Here is a 21263-nt window from a genome sequence, read left to right as displayed (position 1 = left end):
CATAGCTCACTGCATCCTTGAGCTCCTGGGCTCAAGTGATCCTCCTGCCTCAGCCTCTTGTGTAGCTGGGACCACAGGTGCACCACCACACCTGGCAGTTTCAAATGCATTTTTATATAAAAGTGTGATGTTGGTCTGAGTCTTTTCCTCTTTACCTTGCAAACCTGGATTCATCATCATGGTTCATGTGGTATCTCGTGCTATACATGCTGGTTTTGTGTTCCTTGTGGGAGCATTTTTTTCTTTTTTCTTCAGAGAAGAGAAAGTTTGTCAAAACAAGGGCAAAGGTGAAGATGTATGGCTTTTCAAGTGCTTAAACGTGATGAACCTGTTTTTGTTGAGGGACTGAGGAAAGAGTATTATTGGATGTGAGGGAAGAAGCCAGTGGGATTCTTCCTTGCTGTCTAAGAGAGCATGATGTGAGTCAGGGGCTCTAGAAGGACATCACATGTTGCACATTTTAGTATCAGAAACAGGCTGTTTTCCTCAATGGGTTCTACTCTCAGATATTATCTTTTTTTAATGTTCGAACGTAATTTGCTTCCCCCCTAAAGAATACAGTCCTTGTAACAGCCCAAAATACCATTTTTCTGATTACTATCACTTATATAAGACCCTCCAAACCTTTCTCATCCTTGAAAGTGATCCATGCTAACACATAACACACTTTGTTCTCTTAAGCATGTGTGTTTTTTTGTTGTTGTTGTTGTTTTTTGCGAGTCTGTGCCCCCTCCCTTCCTTTAGAGCTCTAAGGTTTGTCATTAAAATGAGCACTTCCGTTTAAATGTCCTCCGGGCTCATCCATTTGCCTTAGCTACTCATTGTTTATTTGAAATGCAAATTTTTATATAACAGCCAAAATCTAACCCACTTACGCACTGTTAACTTTATATGTAAGCTCCTTCTTATAACTAAAGAATTCACATGGTGGTTAGTTATGGTTGCAGTCTGCCTTGCACTAACGTATTTTCATTTTCTAGAATGTATATGCATGCCTGTCTTTTCCTCATGGAGTCTTCTAGGGAAATCCTCAGCACACTGCGAGAGGGCAGTCATTTCCTTGTTAGGTGTGAGTGAGATGTGATCCATTCCCCAAACAGCGTGCATTTCAGTAAGGGCATTGTTTTTATGTGAGGCCGATCCATCCGTATCTATGCTATTGTCTGTTACTTGAAGAATATTGACTGTCTTGGAGTCGTATTTCTATCACATCTCTACCCTGCTGGCTTCACCATCTAAGTGGTCCTTCAGCAAACTTCTCAAACTAGACGCATTCCCTGTTTTCTGGGTTCTGGTGGTTAGCTTGGGAAGAAAGTGAAATGTGACTTGCCTAAGAAAGTAAGACCCCTCTCCCCATCACACCCATATGTGAAAGCTTCTTGGGCCATTATTCTTTTCATCTCAGCCAATAGCCTCTGTCCTTGCTCCTTGACATACTTCTTGATGACTGGTAGTGGACCAGCAAAGTAGTTAACCTGTCCCAAAATCACACACGAAGAGAGGCTAGTGTTTACAGAATTTCAGCCAGCGAGCCTGGTGCAGTGGCGTATGCTTCTTGTCCCAGCTGCTTAGAAGGCTGAGGTGGGAGAATCACTTGAGCCCAGGAGTTCAGATGTAGCACGGGAAGCATAGTGAGACCCTGTCTCTAACAACAGCAAATTCCAGCCAGCTTGCTTGGGAGCTCAGTGAGAACCCGGAGGAAAAAATGCTGGCCGTGTGGGTCAGATGCTGCGACTGACAGTGGGGATTGCTTGTTAAGCAAGAACAGATACTGTGCCTGCTTCTTGGAACTTCTTAGGGGCCAGTCATTAAGCAATGAAGTGACTGCACTCTGAAGTATAAAATTTGCCAGGAGGGTGATTGTATGGTACAACTGGAATAAGGGAATTTCACTTACAGCTTTCTTAGGAAAAAATAATTGTGTCGAAATCCAAAGCATGAGCAGAAGATAAGTGGCCAAATTGTCCACTTTGTTCTACCAAAAACAGAAAATTCCTTGTTATCCATGATGAAATGGGTCTAAGTAACTAATATGATACAGTTTTTGCAAAGCTCGGGTCTCTTACCAGCATACTGTATTAACGTCGCTTACAAAAAAACAACCAGCATGGCCTGGCCTTTGTTGATCTGTCAGCAGTGCTTATGGTTTTTGTCTTCACTGCAAGCCCCTCTTCAGGGACTGCGGTTGGCTGTAGAAAATGCAGTCCTTGGCTTCATTGTCCACACTTCCTGCCCAGAGCAGTAGTCTCTGTCTAGGGGACACCCACGTCTGGCTGGTGGGCAGGGAAGGGGCTTCACCAATTCCTGGTGTAAATCCGTTTCCCACTTTCTCTTCTTTATGTGCAGGCTTCTTCCTCTGCACAGAGAAAGCCTGTGACATGCCCTTTAGTGGGGAGTATCAAAGGGTTGTGAGTGCTCAGTATGTGAGAGAAAGACTAGTCTTAAGAGGACGTGTGTGTCATTCTTAGAACAACAAAAAGAAGACATGGAAAGTATTTGACTAATTGATTTTTGCCATTTGGAGCAAAAATCTAATTTTTGTCAAAGTGATGCTGGGACCATGTAATTTTGTGAAAGTGAAGCTGGAACACATAATTCCTCACACACTCAGCCTTGTGCGGGCGGCTGTGATTCCTTCGCCACCATGAAGTGAAGTGCATCCAAAGTGTGAGCCAGTGTACTGCCTTTTTTTTTTTTTTTTTTTTTTTTTTTTTTTTTTTTTTGAGACAGAGTTTCGTTCTTGTTGCCCAGTCTGGAGTGCAATGGCACAATCTCGGCTCACCACAACCTCTGCCTCCTGGGTTCAAGCGATTTTCCTGCCTCAGCCTCCCGAGTAGCTGGGATTACAGGCATATGCCACCATGCCAGGCTAATTTTGTATTTTTAGTAGGGACGAGATTTCTCCATGTTGGTCAGGCTGGTCTTGAACTCCTGACCTCAGGTGATCCGGCCACCTCGGCCTCCCAAAGTGCTGGGATTACAGGCGTGAGCCGCTGTGCCCGGCTGGACTGTGTTTCTTTTTGCACTTTTTGGTTTTTCATTTTAGTGTTCTTTTGTGCTTTCTGACCTAAGTGCTGGCAATGTGTACCTTCATGTGTGAATTGATTATGAAGACAATTTCTAAGAGCAATCCTCAAGACTCAGTTTTTGTCTGGCTTTCTGTAATCATTGAAGCAACTTAAAAAAAAATGTCCACTTCATCTTTAGAGTTCTCCCCCTGCCCAGGCACACAGGTCTCACTGCACACCCTATTCGTCACCCCACAAGATGCATGTGCTGTCTTTGGCTTAGCAGTTCACATGCAAATACAAATACAGTCACGTGCAGCATAAAAGCATTTCAGTCAGTGATGGACCACATAAACCACAATGGTCCCGTCAGATTATAATGGAACTGAGAAGTTCCTATTGTCTAGTGACGTCGTAGTGTCGACCTGCAGTGCAGTCCTTAGGTGTCTTTGGTGATGCTGCTGTGAAGAAACCTACTGTGCTGTGGTTGTATAAACGTCTAGCACATACAGTTGTGCACGGTGCATGGTGCTTGATCATGACAATCTTTGACTCTGTTACTGGCTTATGTATTTACTGTACTTTTTATTGTTATTTTAGAGAGTCATCCTTCTTTAAAAAAAAGCCCGTTGTAAAACAGCTTCAGGCAGGGCCTTCAGGAGGTTTCCAGAAGATGGCAGCTCCATGTGTGCTGTCACCTCTGAAGCCCTTCCAGTGGGACAGAGGTGCTGGTGGAAGACAGTGATGTTGATGATCCTGACCCTGTGTAGGTCTAGGCTAATGTGTGTGTGTGTGTGTCTTAGTTTTTCCCAACAATGTTTACAAAGTAAAAAACCATAATTTAAAAATGGAAAAAAGTTTATAGGATAAGGATAGAAAGGAAATATTTTTGTACAGTTGTCCAATGTGTGTGTGTTTAAGCCAAGTGTTATTATGAGTCAAAAAGTTGAAAAAATTAAAAGTATATAAAGTAAAAAAGTTACAGTAATCTAAGTTTAATTTATTGTGGAAGAAAGAATCTTTAGAAAATGTAGTGTAGCCTAAGCATGCAGTGTTTCTAAAGTTTACAGTGGTGTACACTCATGCCTTTGGCCTCGACACTCACTCACCACTCACTCACTCACCCAGGGCAACTTCCAGTCCCGCAAGCTCCATTCATGGTGAGTGCCCTGCATGGGCATACCATCATTCACCCTTTATACCATATGTTTGACTGTACCTTGTCTATGTTTGGATGCACAAATACTTACCATTGTGTTCCAGTTGCCTACAGTATTCAAGACAATAACACGTTGTACAGGTTTGTAGCCTAGGAGCAAGAGGCTATGCCATGTAGCCTAGGTGTGTAGGAGGCTCTACCCTCTAGGTCTGTGTAAGTGCACTCTAGCCTGATGGCACAACTATGAAATCCCTGAATCACACATTTCTGTTTTACCTTAATTAATTATGGAGATAAGGCCTTGCTGTGTTTCCCAGGCCGATCTCAAACTCCTGAGCTCAAATAATCCTCCTTCCTTGGCTCCCGAAGTGCTGAGATTACAGGTGTGAGTCCTGTGCCCAAGCCATGCGTCTCTCAGAATGAGTGTGCCCCTGTTAAGCGATGCATGTCTCTGTATGCTCATGTCATGCCTGGCCTTTACTGGCTACTTGTACAGTCATCTGTCAGCTGTGACTTTTGGGGCTATAAATCCATCAAAGTTCAGGAATCTCCCAAACTTGGTTCATTTAATGCTTAGCAGACGTAGCTCCACAGCCATATTTAAAACTGATGATGATGGTGTCCCTTGTTTGGAGGATTCATTTGTAAGTGACCATAATGAGTTTATCCTGGCCATTCCCCAGAGAACAGCAGGACTCCTGGTTCATCTAGGATGTGTGAAGTGACTGGCCCTCTGAGATTGCTGGGCTTCCTTAAAAATGTCACATACAAGGACATAGATTTTCACATTGTGTAGTATTGTTTATATCAGGGGTCCCCAACCCGCAGACCACTGTGTGGTACTGGTCCATGGCCCATTAGGAGCCAGGCTGCACAGCAGGAGGTGAGCAGCAGGGGAGGGAGCATTACTGACTGAGCTCCGCCGCCTGTCAGGTCAGCATCGGTGTTAGCGGAACTGTGTGTGAGGGATCTAGGTTGCACGCCCCTTTTGAGAATCTAACTAATGCCTGATGATCTGAGGCGGAGGCCAGATGGTTTCATCCTGAAACCATCCTCCCAAGCCCCCATTTGTGGAAAAATTGTCTTACATGAAACTGGTCCTTGTTGCCAAAAAAAAGTTGGGGGCCACTGGTTTAGATCTTGCAGTATTGTGAAGTAATTTTTGGTCTTCTGAGAGACTCCAAGCAGCACACCAGCATGAAAAGATGAGCCATTCACGGCAGCTCTTGGCATTGGTTTTAAGATGAAATACATCAATATTAAAAATAACTATAAAACATTCATGAAAGTTTTTGGAGTTTCTTTGAAGAATGTCTTTGAAGCTGACTTAACATTATTGCATTTATTACAGTTGCTCTGCAGTTCAACTGGGCTTTATAGGTTTGCATCTGGGGTTCACATATGCATTTTAAGACGAGGTTTGAGTCTGTTTGTATAAATCAAATGCAGTCCTCAGACTCATGTGCAGGCCGCATGGCGATCCCGGGATGAAGTAGATATTTCTATTTATAAACAGATTCCTGAGTACTTCAGATATTATTTGTATGTTGGACTCCTGTCTAGAATTGGCACATATCTACATGTACAGAGAAGAATAATGAAATGTCAGGGGTCTCACTGCACCCTCCTCTTTGATCCCATTCTCTGAGGTTTTAATTTGGGCCCAGGAAGCAGCACTTAAATATCCCTACTCCAGCTGCTAGCTTCAAACAATACAAAGCTAGGCTTCCAAATATATTTATCATTTCTTGGTTGAATATTTGCAAAAACTGACCTACCCTACGATTTCTCTCAAATAGGCCTTAGCAACTACAAATATGGATGAGAAGATAGAAAGGGAAGCTTTATGTTTGCTTGCATTTTAGCTAAAAGATAATTAGAAGTGCAATTTAAGTTATGATAATGGAAAAAAAGAGCTACACGTTAAGTGTGGTGCATTGACTGCATCGAGAAAAGGTGCAGTCTAAAGCCCAGCAAAGCTTAAAAGAGAAAAACTAGAAAAAAAGAACTTTTTGGAATATAAACTGTGACAGATTTTTTGTATTTTCTGTGGGCTTGAAAAGTCCTTAACGTTTTCGTTGTTACTGCCCTGGTACTATTTATGTGTTAGAATACAGAACAACTTTAAATTTGTGGAGTCTTATCAGTAGGACTGCTGGCTTTGCGAAACCCGTGCAAAACGGACACTTTGAAGTGACCTTCCCTGTTTAACTCATCCGCTCCTCCCTTCAGTGAGTACATACTACTGTGTGCGGTGTGCTCTTCCAGATGCTGGGATGCAGTAGTGAATGGAGACAAAGCCCCTGTCCTCATGGGCTTAGACTCCAGCTTATGACTTGTTGTTTATAATAAATAATGAACATTGTGAGGTTATTCACAGGAAGGGATGAATAATGGATGGATCTTCAAAACGTGATTCTGGTTAACTACAGACATCCTGAAGTTCCAGGTATAAAAAGCCTTCTTTAAAGCATACTATAGCAGTCAGAATGAATGAGTAGTTAATAAAGCTCTTTGCTGAAATAAAAGCAAATATGTTCACACTTCCAAAAAATAAATACCCAAGTGGGAGTTGTATGGTTCTGATGTCAAACATGTTATGAGACCATCAGAGGTATATGGAAATTTGGGGAGGAAGACAGTAATTATATAAAAGTGCATGCAAGCCTGGGCAATATAGGGAGACCCTGTCAGCCTGCAAAAAAATAATGATAATAAAAAATCGTAGCTGAAGGTGGTGGCATATACCTGTGGGTCCCAGCTGCTTGGGAGGCTAAGGTAGAATCACTAAGGAGAATCACTTGGGGCAGGGAAGTGGTGGCTGCAGTGAGCTATGATTGTGCTATTGCACTCCAGCCTGGGCGACAGAACGAGACCTTGTCTCACGCACACGAAAAGCAATTACTGAATTAGAGATGTGATGTGGGAAACGCTCCCATCTAAGTAATGACCAAGAATATTCCGTGATAGAGATGAAGTCTTAGCAGGACTTCCCTCTCAGGTTATTAGTGGTGATGATCCTGCTTTGTTTTATTACCTTATTACTATTATGCTCTCTGAGGTATGAAGTGATATTAATCTGTTTGCAGTGAGAAATAACACTTTATAGCATTGCTATCATTTAAACATATTAAAATATGTTGTAATGCAGAAAAACACCCTGGGGAGAGAGGTGAAAACTTAGGAGTTTAATTTGAAATGCAGTTGGGAAATTATTTGGACAGCAGAGAAAGCTTTAGGGCAAAATTTCAGTAATAAAGTATATTATTTTCTAAATTATTCATCAGGGAGTTGAGTTTGTTTTTCATGTACCTGGACTTAATCACGATTACAAAAAAATGCTTAGCTAATTGTAGTCATTCATCTATACTAATCCAAAAACAAAAATGAGGAGTTATTGATGGTTTTTATTTAGGTAAAACAATTTATTTGACTGTGAGTGGTTACATATGATAACCATATATTCAGTTATTTCTAACTTGCCTGTTTTGTGAAGAATGCTATTTTGTGACTGTTCCTGCGTCTCGCTATGTTTTGGGGGTTCTGGCCTAGTTCCTACAACATATACTCTTATCCCGGTTCTGTGTTGTCCTGGTGATTCTCCCAAGAGCTAATCAGTTAAAGAGATTTTCTTTTCCATTTTGGATTTTAGCTTGGAGTTTTACTCTTAGTAGTAAAATGGTATCTAAAAATAAAACGGGGAAGAATTAGAACATGTCAGATATAGTAACACGTTTTAATAATTTGCTCTAAAAATCTGCTCATCAGCTGATAACCTTTCGTTTGTCCACATGTCTGCTTTTTAAAACGCTTGGTTTCTTAATATCCCAGTGAGAACAGGCACCTGCAGAGATACTTAGTTGCTCCCAGCCGCAGCTGCAGAGCGACTTCTAGATTCTGCGTATCTTGGTTTATTTCATGCTGTTTTCTTTAAGCCATACTGTCTGCTGGTCAGATGGTAAGAGATACCTGTTTTGGAAAATTTGGTAAATAATCCAGGGTTACAAGTAAATTTAGCATAATGTAGAGGCTTTATTTTGCTCATTTAAAATATGTAGTCTTGGCCAGGCACAGTGGATCACACCTGTAATCCCAGCACTTTGGGAGGCTGAGGCAGGTGGATCACTTGACGTCAGGAGTTCGAGACCAGCCTGGTCAACACGATGAAACCCCGTCTCTACTAATAATACAAAAATTAGTTGGGCGTGGTGGTATGCGCCTGTAATTCCAGCTACTGGGGAGGCTGAGGCATGAGAATCTCTTGAACCTGGGAGGTAGAGGTTACAGTGAGCCGAGATCATATCACTGCACTCCAGTCTGGGTGACAGAGTGAAACTGTGTCTCCAAAAAATAAAATAAAATAAATCAAAATAAAATAAAAATAAAATAAAATAAAATAAAATAAAAATAGTGTTGGCTGGGTGTGATGGCTCATGCCTGTAATTCCAGCACTTTGGAAGGCCAAGGCGAGAGGATCATTTGAGGCCAGGAGTTTGAGACCAGCCTGGGCAACATAGTGAGACCCCATCACTACAAAATATAAAAAATTAGCTGGGTGTGGTGGCACTCGCCTGTAGTCCCAGCTATTCAGGAGGCTGATGCAGAAGGATTGCTTGAGCCCAGGAGTTCAAGGCTGAAGTGGGCCAGGATCTCATCATTGCACTCCAGCCTGGGCGACAGAGTAAGACCCTATTTCTAAAATAAATAAATAAAACATGTAGTTTTACCTCTATTCAGCAATTAGATTCCTTACAACTCATAAACTGTATGAGAAATTGAATTCCACTGTTTTTGTCACTGAGAATGCTCTTGTCCTAGCAGACCTGTGTGTGCTAAATTAAGGTCTGATCTCCATCAGTCACTAAGATGTGGCCAAACATAAAGGCTTTTCATAGTTGTTATACCCCGTAAGTGATGACCCTGAGAAATGAGAGTGAGACTGTCAAGGTACATCTTTTGTCCTTATTCCCTAGATTAGTTCTTGAAATAAGCCACCAGTTAAGAATTTTGGGATTTCCTGTGCACTGGCAGTGGTTGAAGGGTTTAACATGCCTGAAACCTTGAGCACAAATCCCTCCTGCAGCTGCCCTGGGCCATGTCAGCCGGCACCAGCCATGCTGTGGCACCAGAGAATAAGCCTGCACTTAATGTCATAGCATTTCAGAGAACTGTCGGAGCGTGGGGCTGGCCCTTGGGATTTAGCTGCTGCTTGTATGAAGCAGTTTTAAAATATTAAGCTTAGAAAAGTCCCACTGAGCTGGGTAAAGACTTTGTGTCCTTTGGGTCCCTCTCTATGTTTTATCAGTTTTCAGCTGCAGGGCAGATGTCTCCCCTGGGCTGCAGTCTTAGGCACTAAGATGTGTTGCTGGCAGATTTGACTCTAGAAGCCCCAAAGGGCAGGCAGGGATAAATAGTTTTGAATTTTGTTTCTAGTCTCTTCTGTGTTGTATTGGTTTCAGAGTTCAGTATCCAGTCACAGTGGACAGTTTTGTAGTATTTTGCAGCCTAAAAAATTTATGCAAGCAGTAAATTAAAAATCTGAAAAACACACGCATACACATGTGTGCACACGAAGGCACATACACATCCCTCCATGGAGTCTTCCACTCTTGTGTGTTTTGTAATTCTCTTTATTTTTATTTGTTTACTTGGAGACAGGGTCTCGCTCTGTTGCCCAGGGTAGAGTGCAGTGGTGCAATCATAGCTCAGTGCAGCCTCCACCTGCTGGGCTCAAGCAAGCCTCCCACCTCAGCCTCCCAAGTAGCTGGGACTACAGGTGCGCACCACCATGCCCAGTTAATTTTCTAATTTTTTGGTAGAGATGGAGTCTCACTATGTTGCCCAGGCCAACCTTTAACTCCTGGTCTCAGGTGATCCTCCCCAGTTGTACCTCTCAGACTGATTATAGGTGTGAGCCGCCACACCTGACCTATAATTTTATTTTAGATTTACATGAGAAGTGATGCTGTTTTAAAGTGTAATGCTCTGAATTAAAGGAATTCTCTATGGTAATATATTTATACATAACAAAGCACTAACAATTACAGAAGGCCTTGATGCCTGTTCTATTATTCGTTTTATGTTTCTGTGAGTAATTGATGCTTTGATGTATTTTGGCCATAGAGGCACTATTGTAATGCATGTAGACTGACTTTCACTGGACAGAGGTTTGCTGAGCTGGTTCTGTTCATGTGCTATGGCTGGAGACATGAGGCAGAGGACACAGAGGCCCTGCCCTGATGGCACTCACACTGTAAACTTGAGGCAATGAGGACGCACAGTTAGGAGCTGAAGTTGTACCACAGAACACATAAAGGGAGAGTTAGACACAAGACGAGGGGGCTCCAGGTGAGCCAGTGAGAGCCGTGGGGCCTTCTGTCCCTCCAGCCAGCAGACGCTGAGTGACTGCAGGACCCAGCCGATTCCAGGTTCCCGAGCAAGCTGCCTTCTGTGCTTGTGATTTTTATGTTGTGGGGGGATTGATGGTGCCGCCTCAGGTGGAGATCAGTGTGACGGAGTCCACAGGGCAGGATAGAACACTGGATGTGTGCAGTAGGGTCTTAGGCCAAGTCCACTTTCTCTGATGGGGGAGCATTTCAGCAAAGGCCCTTCTGGGCATATGAAGGTTTCCCAGTCAGTTATCAGGGCAATGGGAAGCCACAGAGCTGGGGGTCTGCTGGAGAGTGATCAGGCTTGAGCGTTAATAAGGTCATCTGGCTGCACTGTAGGTGATGGAGCCAGGTAAGAGGCCCTGTAGTCTAGGCAGGAGGTGTGGGTAGCTCTGACCAGCAGTGGAAAGAGGGCAAAGTGGCCAGATTTGAGAGATGCTATTTAGGGAGGTGGATTGGAAGGGCTCTCGTGGGGGTCATGGGGAGGGGGCCGTCTAGGTAGCTGTCCTCAGGGTTTATCATGGGTACCACAGAGAAGGGAAGACATTTGGGCAGTCACTTAGCAAATTTGGGGCATGCCGAGTGGGGGTGCCATGTGGCATTCAAATTGCAGTTTGTGCAGGTAATCAAACTAGGGGCTTAGGAGAGGCCTGGGGAGGAGAAATGGACCTGGAAGTTCTCCGCCAGGTGGAGTGACTCAGGGTCTCAGGAAGAGCAGGCTGGTGAGGCAGAGCCAGGGTGTGGGGCAGAGTGAGTGGAAGGCCGTGAGAGGCAGGGCCAGATGGGGCTGGGTGGATCAAGGAAGAGGAGGGTCAAGGGCGGGCTTTCATTTGAGAGGGTGTAGAAAGCAAAAGAATGTTTTTAGAAAGATTCATGACAGCTGGGCCCTTTGACGTGGTAGTTGGAAGGATTGAGTGGAGAGAGGGAGGTGGAGAGTACAGAAGCAGCAAGGGATGACAGAGGGTGCGAGGCAGGGCAGGAGGCTCAGGAAGGCAGGGACTGTGTGCATGGGGGCCATGAGCCTTGGGTGGGCGGGGATCCCATGTACCCAGGTATGGGCCCAGGGTGGACAGGGGCCGTGCTTACAGGGCGAGGGGCCCCAGGTGAGTGGATACTGCCCGCAGGGGTGATGTGCCCCCGGTGGGCTCTGGGCAGTGTCCCAGTGCTACCCCTCGGCCCTGGGACCTTAGGTGTTCATTACCATTTAGTCTTGTTTACAGCCTGGGAGTTTCTAGTCAAGCACAGCTGGTGGGGAGGCTCCGTGCCTCTTCTCCTCTGCCACCTCCACCCTTGTGCCCTCCTCCACGCTCCCTTCTGGATGCCTCATGCACCTGTATTTCACGTGCAGGACAGGGTTCCATGGTCTGTCAGCCACCACCTACTGAGCTGTTCCCACGAGGCGCATGCCTCCCAGCCAGTGGGTCATCAGCCCATTTCACGAATGGGGGCAGGCTCAGGACTGATGAACTGCGGCACAGCTCACCCAGCCATGCGTGGTGCTCCGCCATGTGGAGAACTATGTTGCCTCCCCTGCGGAGGCCATCGGTGAGGGGGTGCTGGGCCATGAGGACTTGGGTGGGCTGGGGCTGTGTGCAGAATGGCCTCCTGTTTCTTACACGCCAAGGCTTCCTCCAGGCCCTGAGATTTTTCATGCAGTGCCTTTTACTAGTATGTAATCTTCCAGTAAAGACCACTGTTCAGTCAAAGACCAGAATGCAGGGCTCAAATACTTTCAGGTTCCGCCATTGCAGACGTTAGCCCAGGTAGGACTGTGCCTTTCTGCTGAAGAAGCAAAGATAGGCCAAGCCCCAGTCCCTCCTCCAGGCTTCCCCGGCAGCTCAGGGTGCGGGCAGGTGCCGGGAGGGAGAACCTGGTTAATTTTAATTGGCTTACATTTTTGGCCTCTGTGATTTCCTTGTTGGCCTCCTTGGGTGTGTGTTTAATTCAAGTAAGAGTTCATTATCGGAGTTCTTTTAATTATAAAATAAAGTGTGTTCGTGGTAAGGAGGTCACATCATAGAAAGCTGTAGGGAAGAAACTGGAAGTGCCTTTCATCTCCTCCCCCACCTAACTCCCCAGAATTAATCACAAATACTTTTGTGTGTATATTGTTCTGGAAATTGTAAATGTTTAAACAAATCTACTAAGGTATACTCTTCTGAAATTTTCCTTTGAAAATTTAGTTTATAATTTGGATTTATTTCTTGATGAGCACATGCTAAACTCATTCCACCCTTTTTTGATGAAAATTATTACATGTTTATTAATATATCACATTCCCTCCCTCCCTGTCCCTTTTTTCCCCCATAAAACACAATACTGCAGTGAATTTGTTTGAATACATCCCACAGAATATATAGCTGGCAATGGCATTGCTGGGTAAAAGGGAGTGTGCATTTAAAGTTTGGATAGGTGTTGTCAAATTGTGTTCCCTAAAAGTGCTTTTTTTTTTTTTTTTTTTTTTTTTTTTGAGATGGAGTCTCACTCTGTTGTCCAAGCTGGAGTACAGTGGCGCTTTCTTGGCTCACCACAGCCTCCACCTCCCGGTTTCAAGCAAACTCGTGCTTCAGCCCCCTGAGTAGCTGGGACTATAGGCGCATGCCACCATGCCCAGCTAATTTTTGTATTTTTAGTATAGAGAGGGTTTCACCATGTTAGACAGGCCCCCTGAGTAGCTGGGACTATAGGTGCATGCCACCACGCCCAGCTAATTTTTGTATTTTTAGTAGAGACAGGGTTTCACCATGTTAGACAGGCTGATTTCAAACTCCTGACCTCAGGTGATCTGCCTGCCTTGGCCTCCCAAAGTACTGGTATTACAGGTGTGAGCCACGGTGCCCAGCCAAAAATGCCTTTTAAAAGGTGCATATGATTTTCAGTTCCAGCTTCACTGAGTATTAGAATCTTTTAAAGAACGTTTCAGGGTGCCCAGACCCTTTGCTCTTGTAGGATTCACGCCTGCAGCCTCCAGGCCCAGGGATGGGGCAGGTGTGCTGTGCAGTTGCTGTGGGCCTCACTGTGTCATGGTGCACTCCACCCTCATTGCTGTAGCCTCGCTTGTTCTTTCTTCAGTTGTACAAGAGGAAGACTGAGACTGCTAGTCAGAGGGATTGGTATTTTCTTCTGTTCTGAATATAGAATCTTGGGAGGTTTTATGGAGAGAAATTAAGGGCATGTCTGTCTTTTATCTATGTTTGTATGTAACATGGTGTTTAATGAATATAACCCATGTGCTAGGTGCTTCACATAAATGGATTCTCATAACACTCTGCGAGGTATCTGCTCTTTTACTGTGTGTGTGTGGTGTGTGTGTGTGTGTGTGTCTTACTCTGTTACCGAGGCTGGAGTGCAGTGTTGCAATTATAGCTCACTGCAGCCTTGATCTCCTGGCCTCAAGCAGTTCTCCCACCTCAGCCTCCCAAGTAGCTGGGACTACAGGTACAAGCATGTACCACCAGCTAATTTTTTATTCTTTAAATGTTTTGTAGAAATGGGGTATTGCTCTGTTGCCCGGGCTGGTCTTGAGCTCCTGGCCTCTAGCAGTCCTCCTGCTTTGGCCTCGCAAAGTGGTGGCATTAGAGGTGTGAGGTACAGTGCCCAGTCTGTTTTCCGTGTTTTGTAATTTAATAAGATGTGAGCCTCAAGACCATTAGTGAGTGGTAAAGCTGAGATTTGATTCTCATCCTCCACCACACTAACGGGGATGTGCCCTAGGGCATGAAATGCTTCATTCCTGTTTGTTTAAAAACGTGTTTTTTTTCCTTGTGTTTTCCTATGTATTTTATTTTTTTTTTACTTTTATTTTTATTTTTTTGAGACAGAGTCTTGCTCTTTTGCTCACAGCAACCTTTGCCTCCTGTGTTCAAGGGATTCTCCTACCTCAGCCTCCCGAGTAGCTGGGATTACAGTCACGTGCCACCATGCCTGGCTAATTTTTGTATTTTTAGTAGAGATGGGGTTTCACCATGTTGGTCAGGCTGGTCTTGAACTCCTGACCTCAGGTGATCCATCTGCCTAGGCCTCCCAAAGTGCTGGGATTACAGGTGTGAGCCACTGCACCCAGGTGTAATTTGGTATCATCTTTATACATCTTCATGCCTACTCATATCTTCTTTCATAGATTAGAATGAATTTGAGAACAGAGGAAATTTTAGACATTATGCTAATGGCATGAGGATCCTAGGCCTAGTTAGAAGTCATCTTTGAAATAACTTCATAGAGCCGTATTTCATATTTCTCTTCTAAGAATTGTGAAAGAACTTAATTTTATTTCCCCAGAGAGAGAACTATAAATCATACGTATATAGTAACAAAGACAAAGAATGTTTGTGGAGGATTGAACTCAATTTAGAACTGATTTACACATCAGAGCAAGCCTGCTGAAAGCATAAGATTTTTACGTGGTTTTGCCAGACAGGTTGAAGGGACTATATTAAGGATAAATAGTTGAGCTGTTTTGTGGTATTTTTATTTCAAAATACCCAGAAATGGAAAGCAGTACTTTTCTTGTTTGGGTGTGATTCATGGACTGTCCAGCAGAGGGCACTGCCAGTTTGTGAGTGAGCATCCTTGCTGGCAGCTGAGTGAGCCTGCGCCTGCACTTCCCAGAGGAAATGGGTCTGAGTGTGATGTGGAAATAGTTACATTTTATTTTAGAATGTTGTCATGAAAGTTATCATAGGTGTCATAATAGCATTTGTAAGGTGTCACAGAAGATATTGCTGTTTCCTGCTACCTAGATGTACTGAACATTTTGCAGTTAGCTACTTAGCATGGTTTAGCTAATTGGGGACTGTTACTGACACATGGCTGGATCCCTACTTTGCCTCTCCTCCTTGAATTTGAGTTATATAAAGGAAATCTCAGTACTTAGGAATTTAGGGGAAAATGTTTAATTTTTGATGTGTAACCAAGAAGAAAGCATGGCAGTTTCTTATTGGTGGCTTCATGACTTACTGTGAATTTTTAATTTTTCTGAAATCTCAGGTATTTCTTTCCTTGCTGTGAATCCTGGGAAATGATTGCATTTGAAGTGGAGAATCACACAGCCTCCTTTAGTCCACTCTCCACAATGTCCAAATTATCTTTTGGTTATTCTTTTGTCTACCAGACTATCACAGCCATTATATTCTGTGGACTGAATTGTCAGTTTTCTCCACTGTAAGAATGGCGGGTGCACAGTCCGTGTGTCTTGTTTATGTGTACACTTGCAGATACAGAGTTGTTTTTGCCTCAGCTTTTCCTATGTAAAAGTTTTAAGTACTGTGTAAACATGCTTGTATACCTGGCTTTTGAATATATTTCACGCCTGCAAACTTAATTATTTGATGTGCATGGAAGTTGTAGAAGAGATCACTTGGTTTTTCTCTTAGGTTCACTTCTGTTTTTGTTTCTCTTGCTCCTTCAACTCACTGATGACAGGTGCTTTCCAAACTGCCGGCCTGATGCAGAGGTGCTGATTCCCCATTTGCTCTGCCCTTCTTTAGGGCTGCTGTACCGGCAGTGCCCACTGGGGGGCAGCGTGATTGCACACCAGCCTGCAAGGGTCTCCTTGGCTTTCTTTTCAGTTGGCAGGTGTGGGGGGCATTTTTGAGAACAAAGCACATTATTACTGAACGCTGAAACCCCCAGTGACAAAGCATTGTAGTGAATTCAAATGCACGATCCGGGAAATTCTCGGAGCCTCTGCGACTGGTCTCTCCAGCAGGGCCTGATACACAGGATCACTTGTAATTAAAACTAACACTTGTGGATGGGGGTGAGCTCTCACGTTAATGGACGTTTCTCATTGTACAACATTCAAAATATGTGGCAGGCCTTTGATAAGGAGTCTTTTTTCTTTCATCCCTTGAATAGTTATGAGGTGTGGAAATAAGAGGAGTTAGTTGGGAAAAAGCTTGCATGCTGGCTTTGTCGTTGTTTTTGAAAAGAATGGAAAATACTTGCAAATAAAGGCACATGGATTATTTTATCCATCTTGCACAAAACTGGGCTCATAGCACCTGATGGAGTCCTGGCTAACAGGTTTATTTTACTTATTGATTTCTGGAAATAAAGCAGGCACTAAACCGGACCACTTAACTATTTAAATCCTTGCAATAGGGTATAATTGTACTTTCAGATTTGTTTTTATATCAGTTGTGCAACATGTCTCAGGCAGTCATCTTGATTTTAAGTTCCTTTCTTTTAAGTTCATGCCTTATTCTCAACTTTCTTGCTCCGTAACAGAGCTGTGAATGGATAAGACTCGGTAGGCATTTGCCTAAAAGGTTTTGATGCTAGGAGGAACTGCACAATTCCTTTGCCCTTCTTGGTTTTCCTGTTTCGTGCTTATTTTTTATAAGCCGTGCATTGCTGTCGTGTGCAGCTGTGCACCCTCCTGCTGCCCGTCACGGCATCGGGTCTTTCCTGTGGGCCTCCTCGCCCTGCCCCACCTTTTCTCCAGGCATGAATCCTCCCCTAGAGCGCATGCAGTCAAATTAACGTGGAGACAGAGCCCATTATGAAGGAAATCAATTTATTCTAATTGGGTGACAACATTAGGCTTGACGGGAACTAGCACACCATCGTAAGCATCATGGTTACTTTGACTCTTCGTGAGGTGACTTAGGTGCAGTGTGATTTTCGTTTTCCATGCCTCCACCCCGCAGAAGCACCTGTGCGGTAACTGTCTGGGTTCATGTGTCCTGTGCTTCCAAAGCCTCTCGCCAGCGGCCTTTGTGGTGGGGTGGAGGGACTGGACAGGGGGCACCCAGTGAATTAACGCCAGAGAGTGTCTGGCCTCAGAAGGGCCAGCGAGCAAAGGGGTGTTAGCCCCGAGCCCGGATGGAGGAGGCAGCAGTGTGGGTTTGGATGACAGAGGGAAAGTAGAGATTTGGGAAGAAGAGGGTGGAAACAGGGTGGGTCTCCGTGGATTGCAGGGGAGGGTTTGTCTGCAGGTGTACAGGGAGTGCTGGCCCTGGTTTGGTTTAAACTGATGAGGGCCCTGGGCACATGCAAATGCGTAAATCTATCCTTCAGGCAAGGGATGAAAAACCGTTGAAGAGTTTTGGCTTCTTCTTCTTCCTTCTTCCTTCCGTCTTCCTTCCTTCTTCCTTCTTCCTTCCTTCCTTCTTCCTTCCTTTCTTCTTTCTTTCTTTCTTCTTCTTCTTTTTTTTTTAATAGAAGAAAAGTTACTTAAGAAAAGTTATCCTTGCGTAAAAAAAAATTCTGTGGAGGGAATATGGGGTGGGAGGTGTCCAGGCTCTGTTCTCATTGACCTGGGATTAAAGACCCAGTCTGCCCACACACTGTCAGCTTTACAACCTTAAGTAGTTCCAGAACCTTCCCAGACTTTGTCTATTAATCTGGGTAATATCAACTCACACAGCAAATGTGAGGAGAAAGTTCTACTGTATTTATAGAAGTCCAGCTCAGTTCTGGGACATACCGGTAGGTGCTCACTTGTTCTTTTCTCTTCCTACATCATCCTTTAAGATTGAATGAATAGCAAAGAAGAAAAACTAAAACAAGTATCTCATCGAGTGTTTTCTACATACCAGTTGACCAACCTCAAGGAATGGACCATTTAGCAGACTTGGTTGGTGTGTTCAGAGTCATAGGCATATAAATTTGAGTCGTACTGGGTGCTGTTCTGAGTGCTTTACTATCTCCCTTAGTTCTGTAGCAACCCTGTCACATTGAGACCCCTTACCACTACCGTCATTGTCGTACCCCTGTGGTCCCTCAGGATAGGCAGGAAAGTTAAGAAACTTTCCCATGTGGGGAAAAGGAGCTGAGCCCCAAATGCACACTCTCTGGCTCTAGGGCCCAAGCCCTCAGCCTTATGCCTGGCATCTCTCGCTCAGACAGGTAACCACAAGCTGACTTATTGCCCAATACTTTCTGGCTACCCCTATTTGAAATCCTATGCCTTTAGCATTTATCTGCAAATAGAATCAGAAGACCGGCAACATGGTGGGCTGAGAGCACCCATGGGGAGAAGCCTTGAATTCATCCATGGAGCTTGAACACGTCGCTGCATTTCTCCAGTTCTCCTCCTCCTTTGAAAATGTCTTAAATATGTATTTTTCTATAACCTCATGTTAGAAGTGAATCTCCGGTTTTGAGCAGTGTTTTCAGTGGAGCCATCGTGATGCCATCTGGGTGTGCTCTGAAACACAGTGACTATTTGGGGACCCAGTGTAGGCCGCCATTCTTCAGGTGGACGCTAGACATGAAGCACCACTGTGCCCTGGACTCCTGCTTCGCCTGTGGTGATGCCATCATGGCTGTCCCCTCACCTCATTCATGTTCAGATTCCCCCTGTTTGCTTTTTGATGCCTTTTGTTCCCAGCACTCCAGCTTCAATCTTAACTAGAAATCACCCAACAAACTGAAAAAGCTCCCAGTTCTGGAAATGGTACTTTGCAGCTTTCATTCTGCCCGTAATACATTTGAAAGCACCAAGTTTAGGGTCTCAGCAAAAAGCCAAAGCTGTCTCCATGTTTCATTTGAAGGTACTTTTGTTTTCAGTTGTTTCTTTGTGCATGTAAGAGCATTTTTTGCCCTGTTTTTGTTTCTTTCCTTCTTATTGAATGGAACAATTCTTTAAAACCTTGTACCTATCCTGCTTTCAGTTTCTTCTGTTTATTTAAAGCCTGAGTATTTCTTGTTTAGTTATAACAGCAGTAGTACATGCTAATGGGAAAGAAAATGGAGAAGTGTGTAAACTGGAAAATAAATAAAAATGTCCTGAATACCACATTCCTTCCCTCCCCTGGAGGGAAAACATTATCTTTTTTTTCCCGCATCCTTCCAGAAATTTTCTGCACATATATGAGCATTTTAAGCACACCCACACGCACAAATGGTTTCCCGCTATACGTACTGTTCTGCCAGTATATCTTGGATAAGTTTCCGCATCAGCAAATGTAGATTGACTTCATCTGTTAACAGCTCCTTAGTAATTAGGGGATAATTTCTCACAACTCCCCTATTTTTTCTGGGTTTCCAAACAAGCCGCCTTGGATCTATTCCCAGGGTTCTCCCCAAATAGTGCTCTTCCAGTTCTGCTTCCTTTAGGAAGGAGTTTCATCTTCTAGTGTCATCTATTCCTGCCATTGTGTAGCTTCCTGGGTCTGTTACTGATTACCTTTTGAATAAGAAAGGGACAGGTCAGAGGACTCAGGCTGGAACTAGACAGGTCAATGTAGTTGAGTATGGAATAGGGGTTAAAATGGACGCTAATGGCCTTCTACTTAAAACTCTCAAAACTAGAGAAAGGAAAAGTGAAGCCACAGTGAAATGTCACCTCCCTCTTGTTAGAATAGCTGTTATCCAGAAGACCCCACAAAATGACCAGTATTGTGAGGATGTGGAGAAAAAGGAACCCTCATACACTGTTGGTGGGAATGTAAATTAATACAGACATTATGGAAAACAGCATGGAAGTTCTTCAAAAACCTAAAAATAGAACTTACCATATGGTCCAGCAATCCTACTTCTGGGTGTTTACCTGAAAGATTTGAAATCAATATGTCGAAGAGATGTCTCCACACCCGTGTTTGTTGCAGCGCCGTTCACTGTAGCTAAGATACGGCACCAGCCTACGTTGGACGGATGGATAAATGGTCTGTATACACAGTGCAGTACTAGTCAGTCATAAAACAGGAAGAACTTCTGTCATCTGTGACAACGTGTATGGAACTAGAGAACATTGTGTTAGGTGAAATAAGCCAAACACAGAAAGACAAATACTGCCTGTTTTCACGGATACGCAGAATCTGAAACCATTAAACTCACAGAAGCAAAGAGGAATGGGGGTTAGAGGTTGGGAGGTTAGCGGTTGGGAGGGGGGTTGGGGAGATCGTAACCAAAGGGCACAAAGCCTGGGTTACATAGGAGGCATAGGTTTGATTTATTTCTTATTCTTTTTTTTGGAGCTCTGTTACATGGTGTAGTGAATGTAGCTAATAATTGAGTTCCGTACATTTTAATACTGCTGAGAGTAAATTTCATATGTTCTCATCATAAAAAATGTTGAATATTTGAGGGGATGGAAATGTTAGTTAACTTGATTTATTCATTCCACATTGTATTAAACAATAACATCACTTTTGTACCTCAATGATAACTTGTCAATATACAAGAGAAATTTAAGAAATCTCAAATCTTGAGCCTCCAAGTCAGGCGAGCCCCTGGGGGTGAAAGCCCCGCTCTGTTGTTTGGCCTGCAGGTTGGCCTCCCTTCTTAGCCTCTGCGCAGCCTCCTCGGTTCCTCCCCGAGCCACCTGTGGCCACTGGAGCTCTGTTAAGCCAACGGGAAGTAAAGACACTCCAACCATGCATTAGAAAAATCACAATCGGAATGATAATTGATTCCTTCTGTTTGAATCTATTGGAGTGTTACAGATGCTTTGATGAAGGTAAGACTTGCTGGGTTTATCCTCTAGAGCTGTACGCTACTAATGCTTTGTATTTATGTATAATCAGTATAATAAGCTTTTGACTGCATAAGATTCTTATTTTCAAAATATACATTTTTAGCTACCCCATTTCTAATTTCTCTCAAAAGCAGCATTTCTGATTTGTATCTACCTGGTACAGATGCCAGAGGAGCTGGTGTTGGCAGTATTATCTGTGTTTACCTACATCGAACTGTTCATACCTTCTTCTGAGATACTGTTCTTCTCTGGTCTGTCTTTTGCCAGCCCCTTAAAACCAAAGT

The 21263-nt window shown here is 43.8% G+C and overlaps 1 protein-coding gene across 11 annotated transcripts in view, besides 3 other annotated features; it reads left to right on the top strand.

Annotated features, from left to right (window-relative positions):
- PARD3 (par-3 family cell polarity regulator) overlaps nt 1–21263 on the top strand; it is a 705736-nt gene that overhangs the window by 161562 nt on the left and 522911 nt on the right. The gene's annotated exons all lie outside the window — the stretch shown is intronic.
- Nucleotides 3239–3438: a silencer, noted in NCBI's record as "silent region_2292". NCBI's record gives its function as "represses an Ori minimal core promoter by ATAC-STARR-seq in GM12878 lymphoblastoid cells {active_cell/tissue: GM12878}" and the evidence as "EXISTENCE:reporter gene assay evidence [ECO:0000049][PMID:35858748]".
- Nucleotides 4382–4481: an enhancer, noted in NCBI's record as "active region_3255". NCBI's record gives its function as "activates an Ori minimal core promoter by ATAC-STARR-seq in GM12878 lymphoblastoid cells {active_cell/tissue: GM12878}" and the evidence as "EXISTENCE:reporter gene assay evidence [ECO:0000049][PMID:35858748]".
- Nucleotides 15920–16214: a silencer, noted in NCBI's record as "tiled region #15357; HepG2 Repressive non-DNase unmatched - State 12:CtcfO, and K562 Repressive DNase unmatched - State 12:CtcfO". NCBI's record gives its function as "represses a minimal TATA promoter and a strong SV40 promoter by Sharpr-MPRA in HepG2 and K562 cells {active_cell/tissue: HepG2 | K562}" and the evidence as "EXISTENCE:reporter gene assay evidence [ECO:0000049][PMID:27701403]".

This window comes from Homo sapiens, chromosome 10, assembly GCF_000001405.40.
Source record: "Homo sapiens chromosome 10, GRCh38.p14 Primary Assembly".
NCBI classification, from domain to species: domain Eukaryota; kingdom Metazoa; phylum Chordata; class Mammalia; order Primates; family Hominidae; genus Homo; species Homo sapiens.
This window is presented reverse-complemented; position numbering and strand designations above follow the sequence as displayed.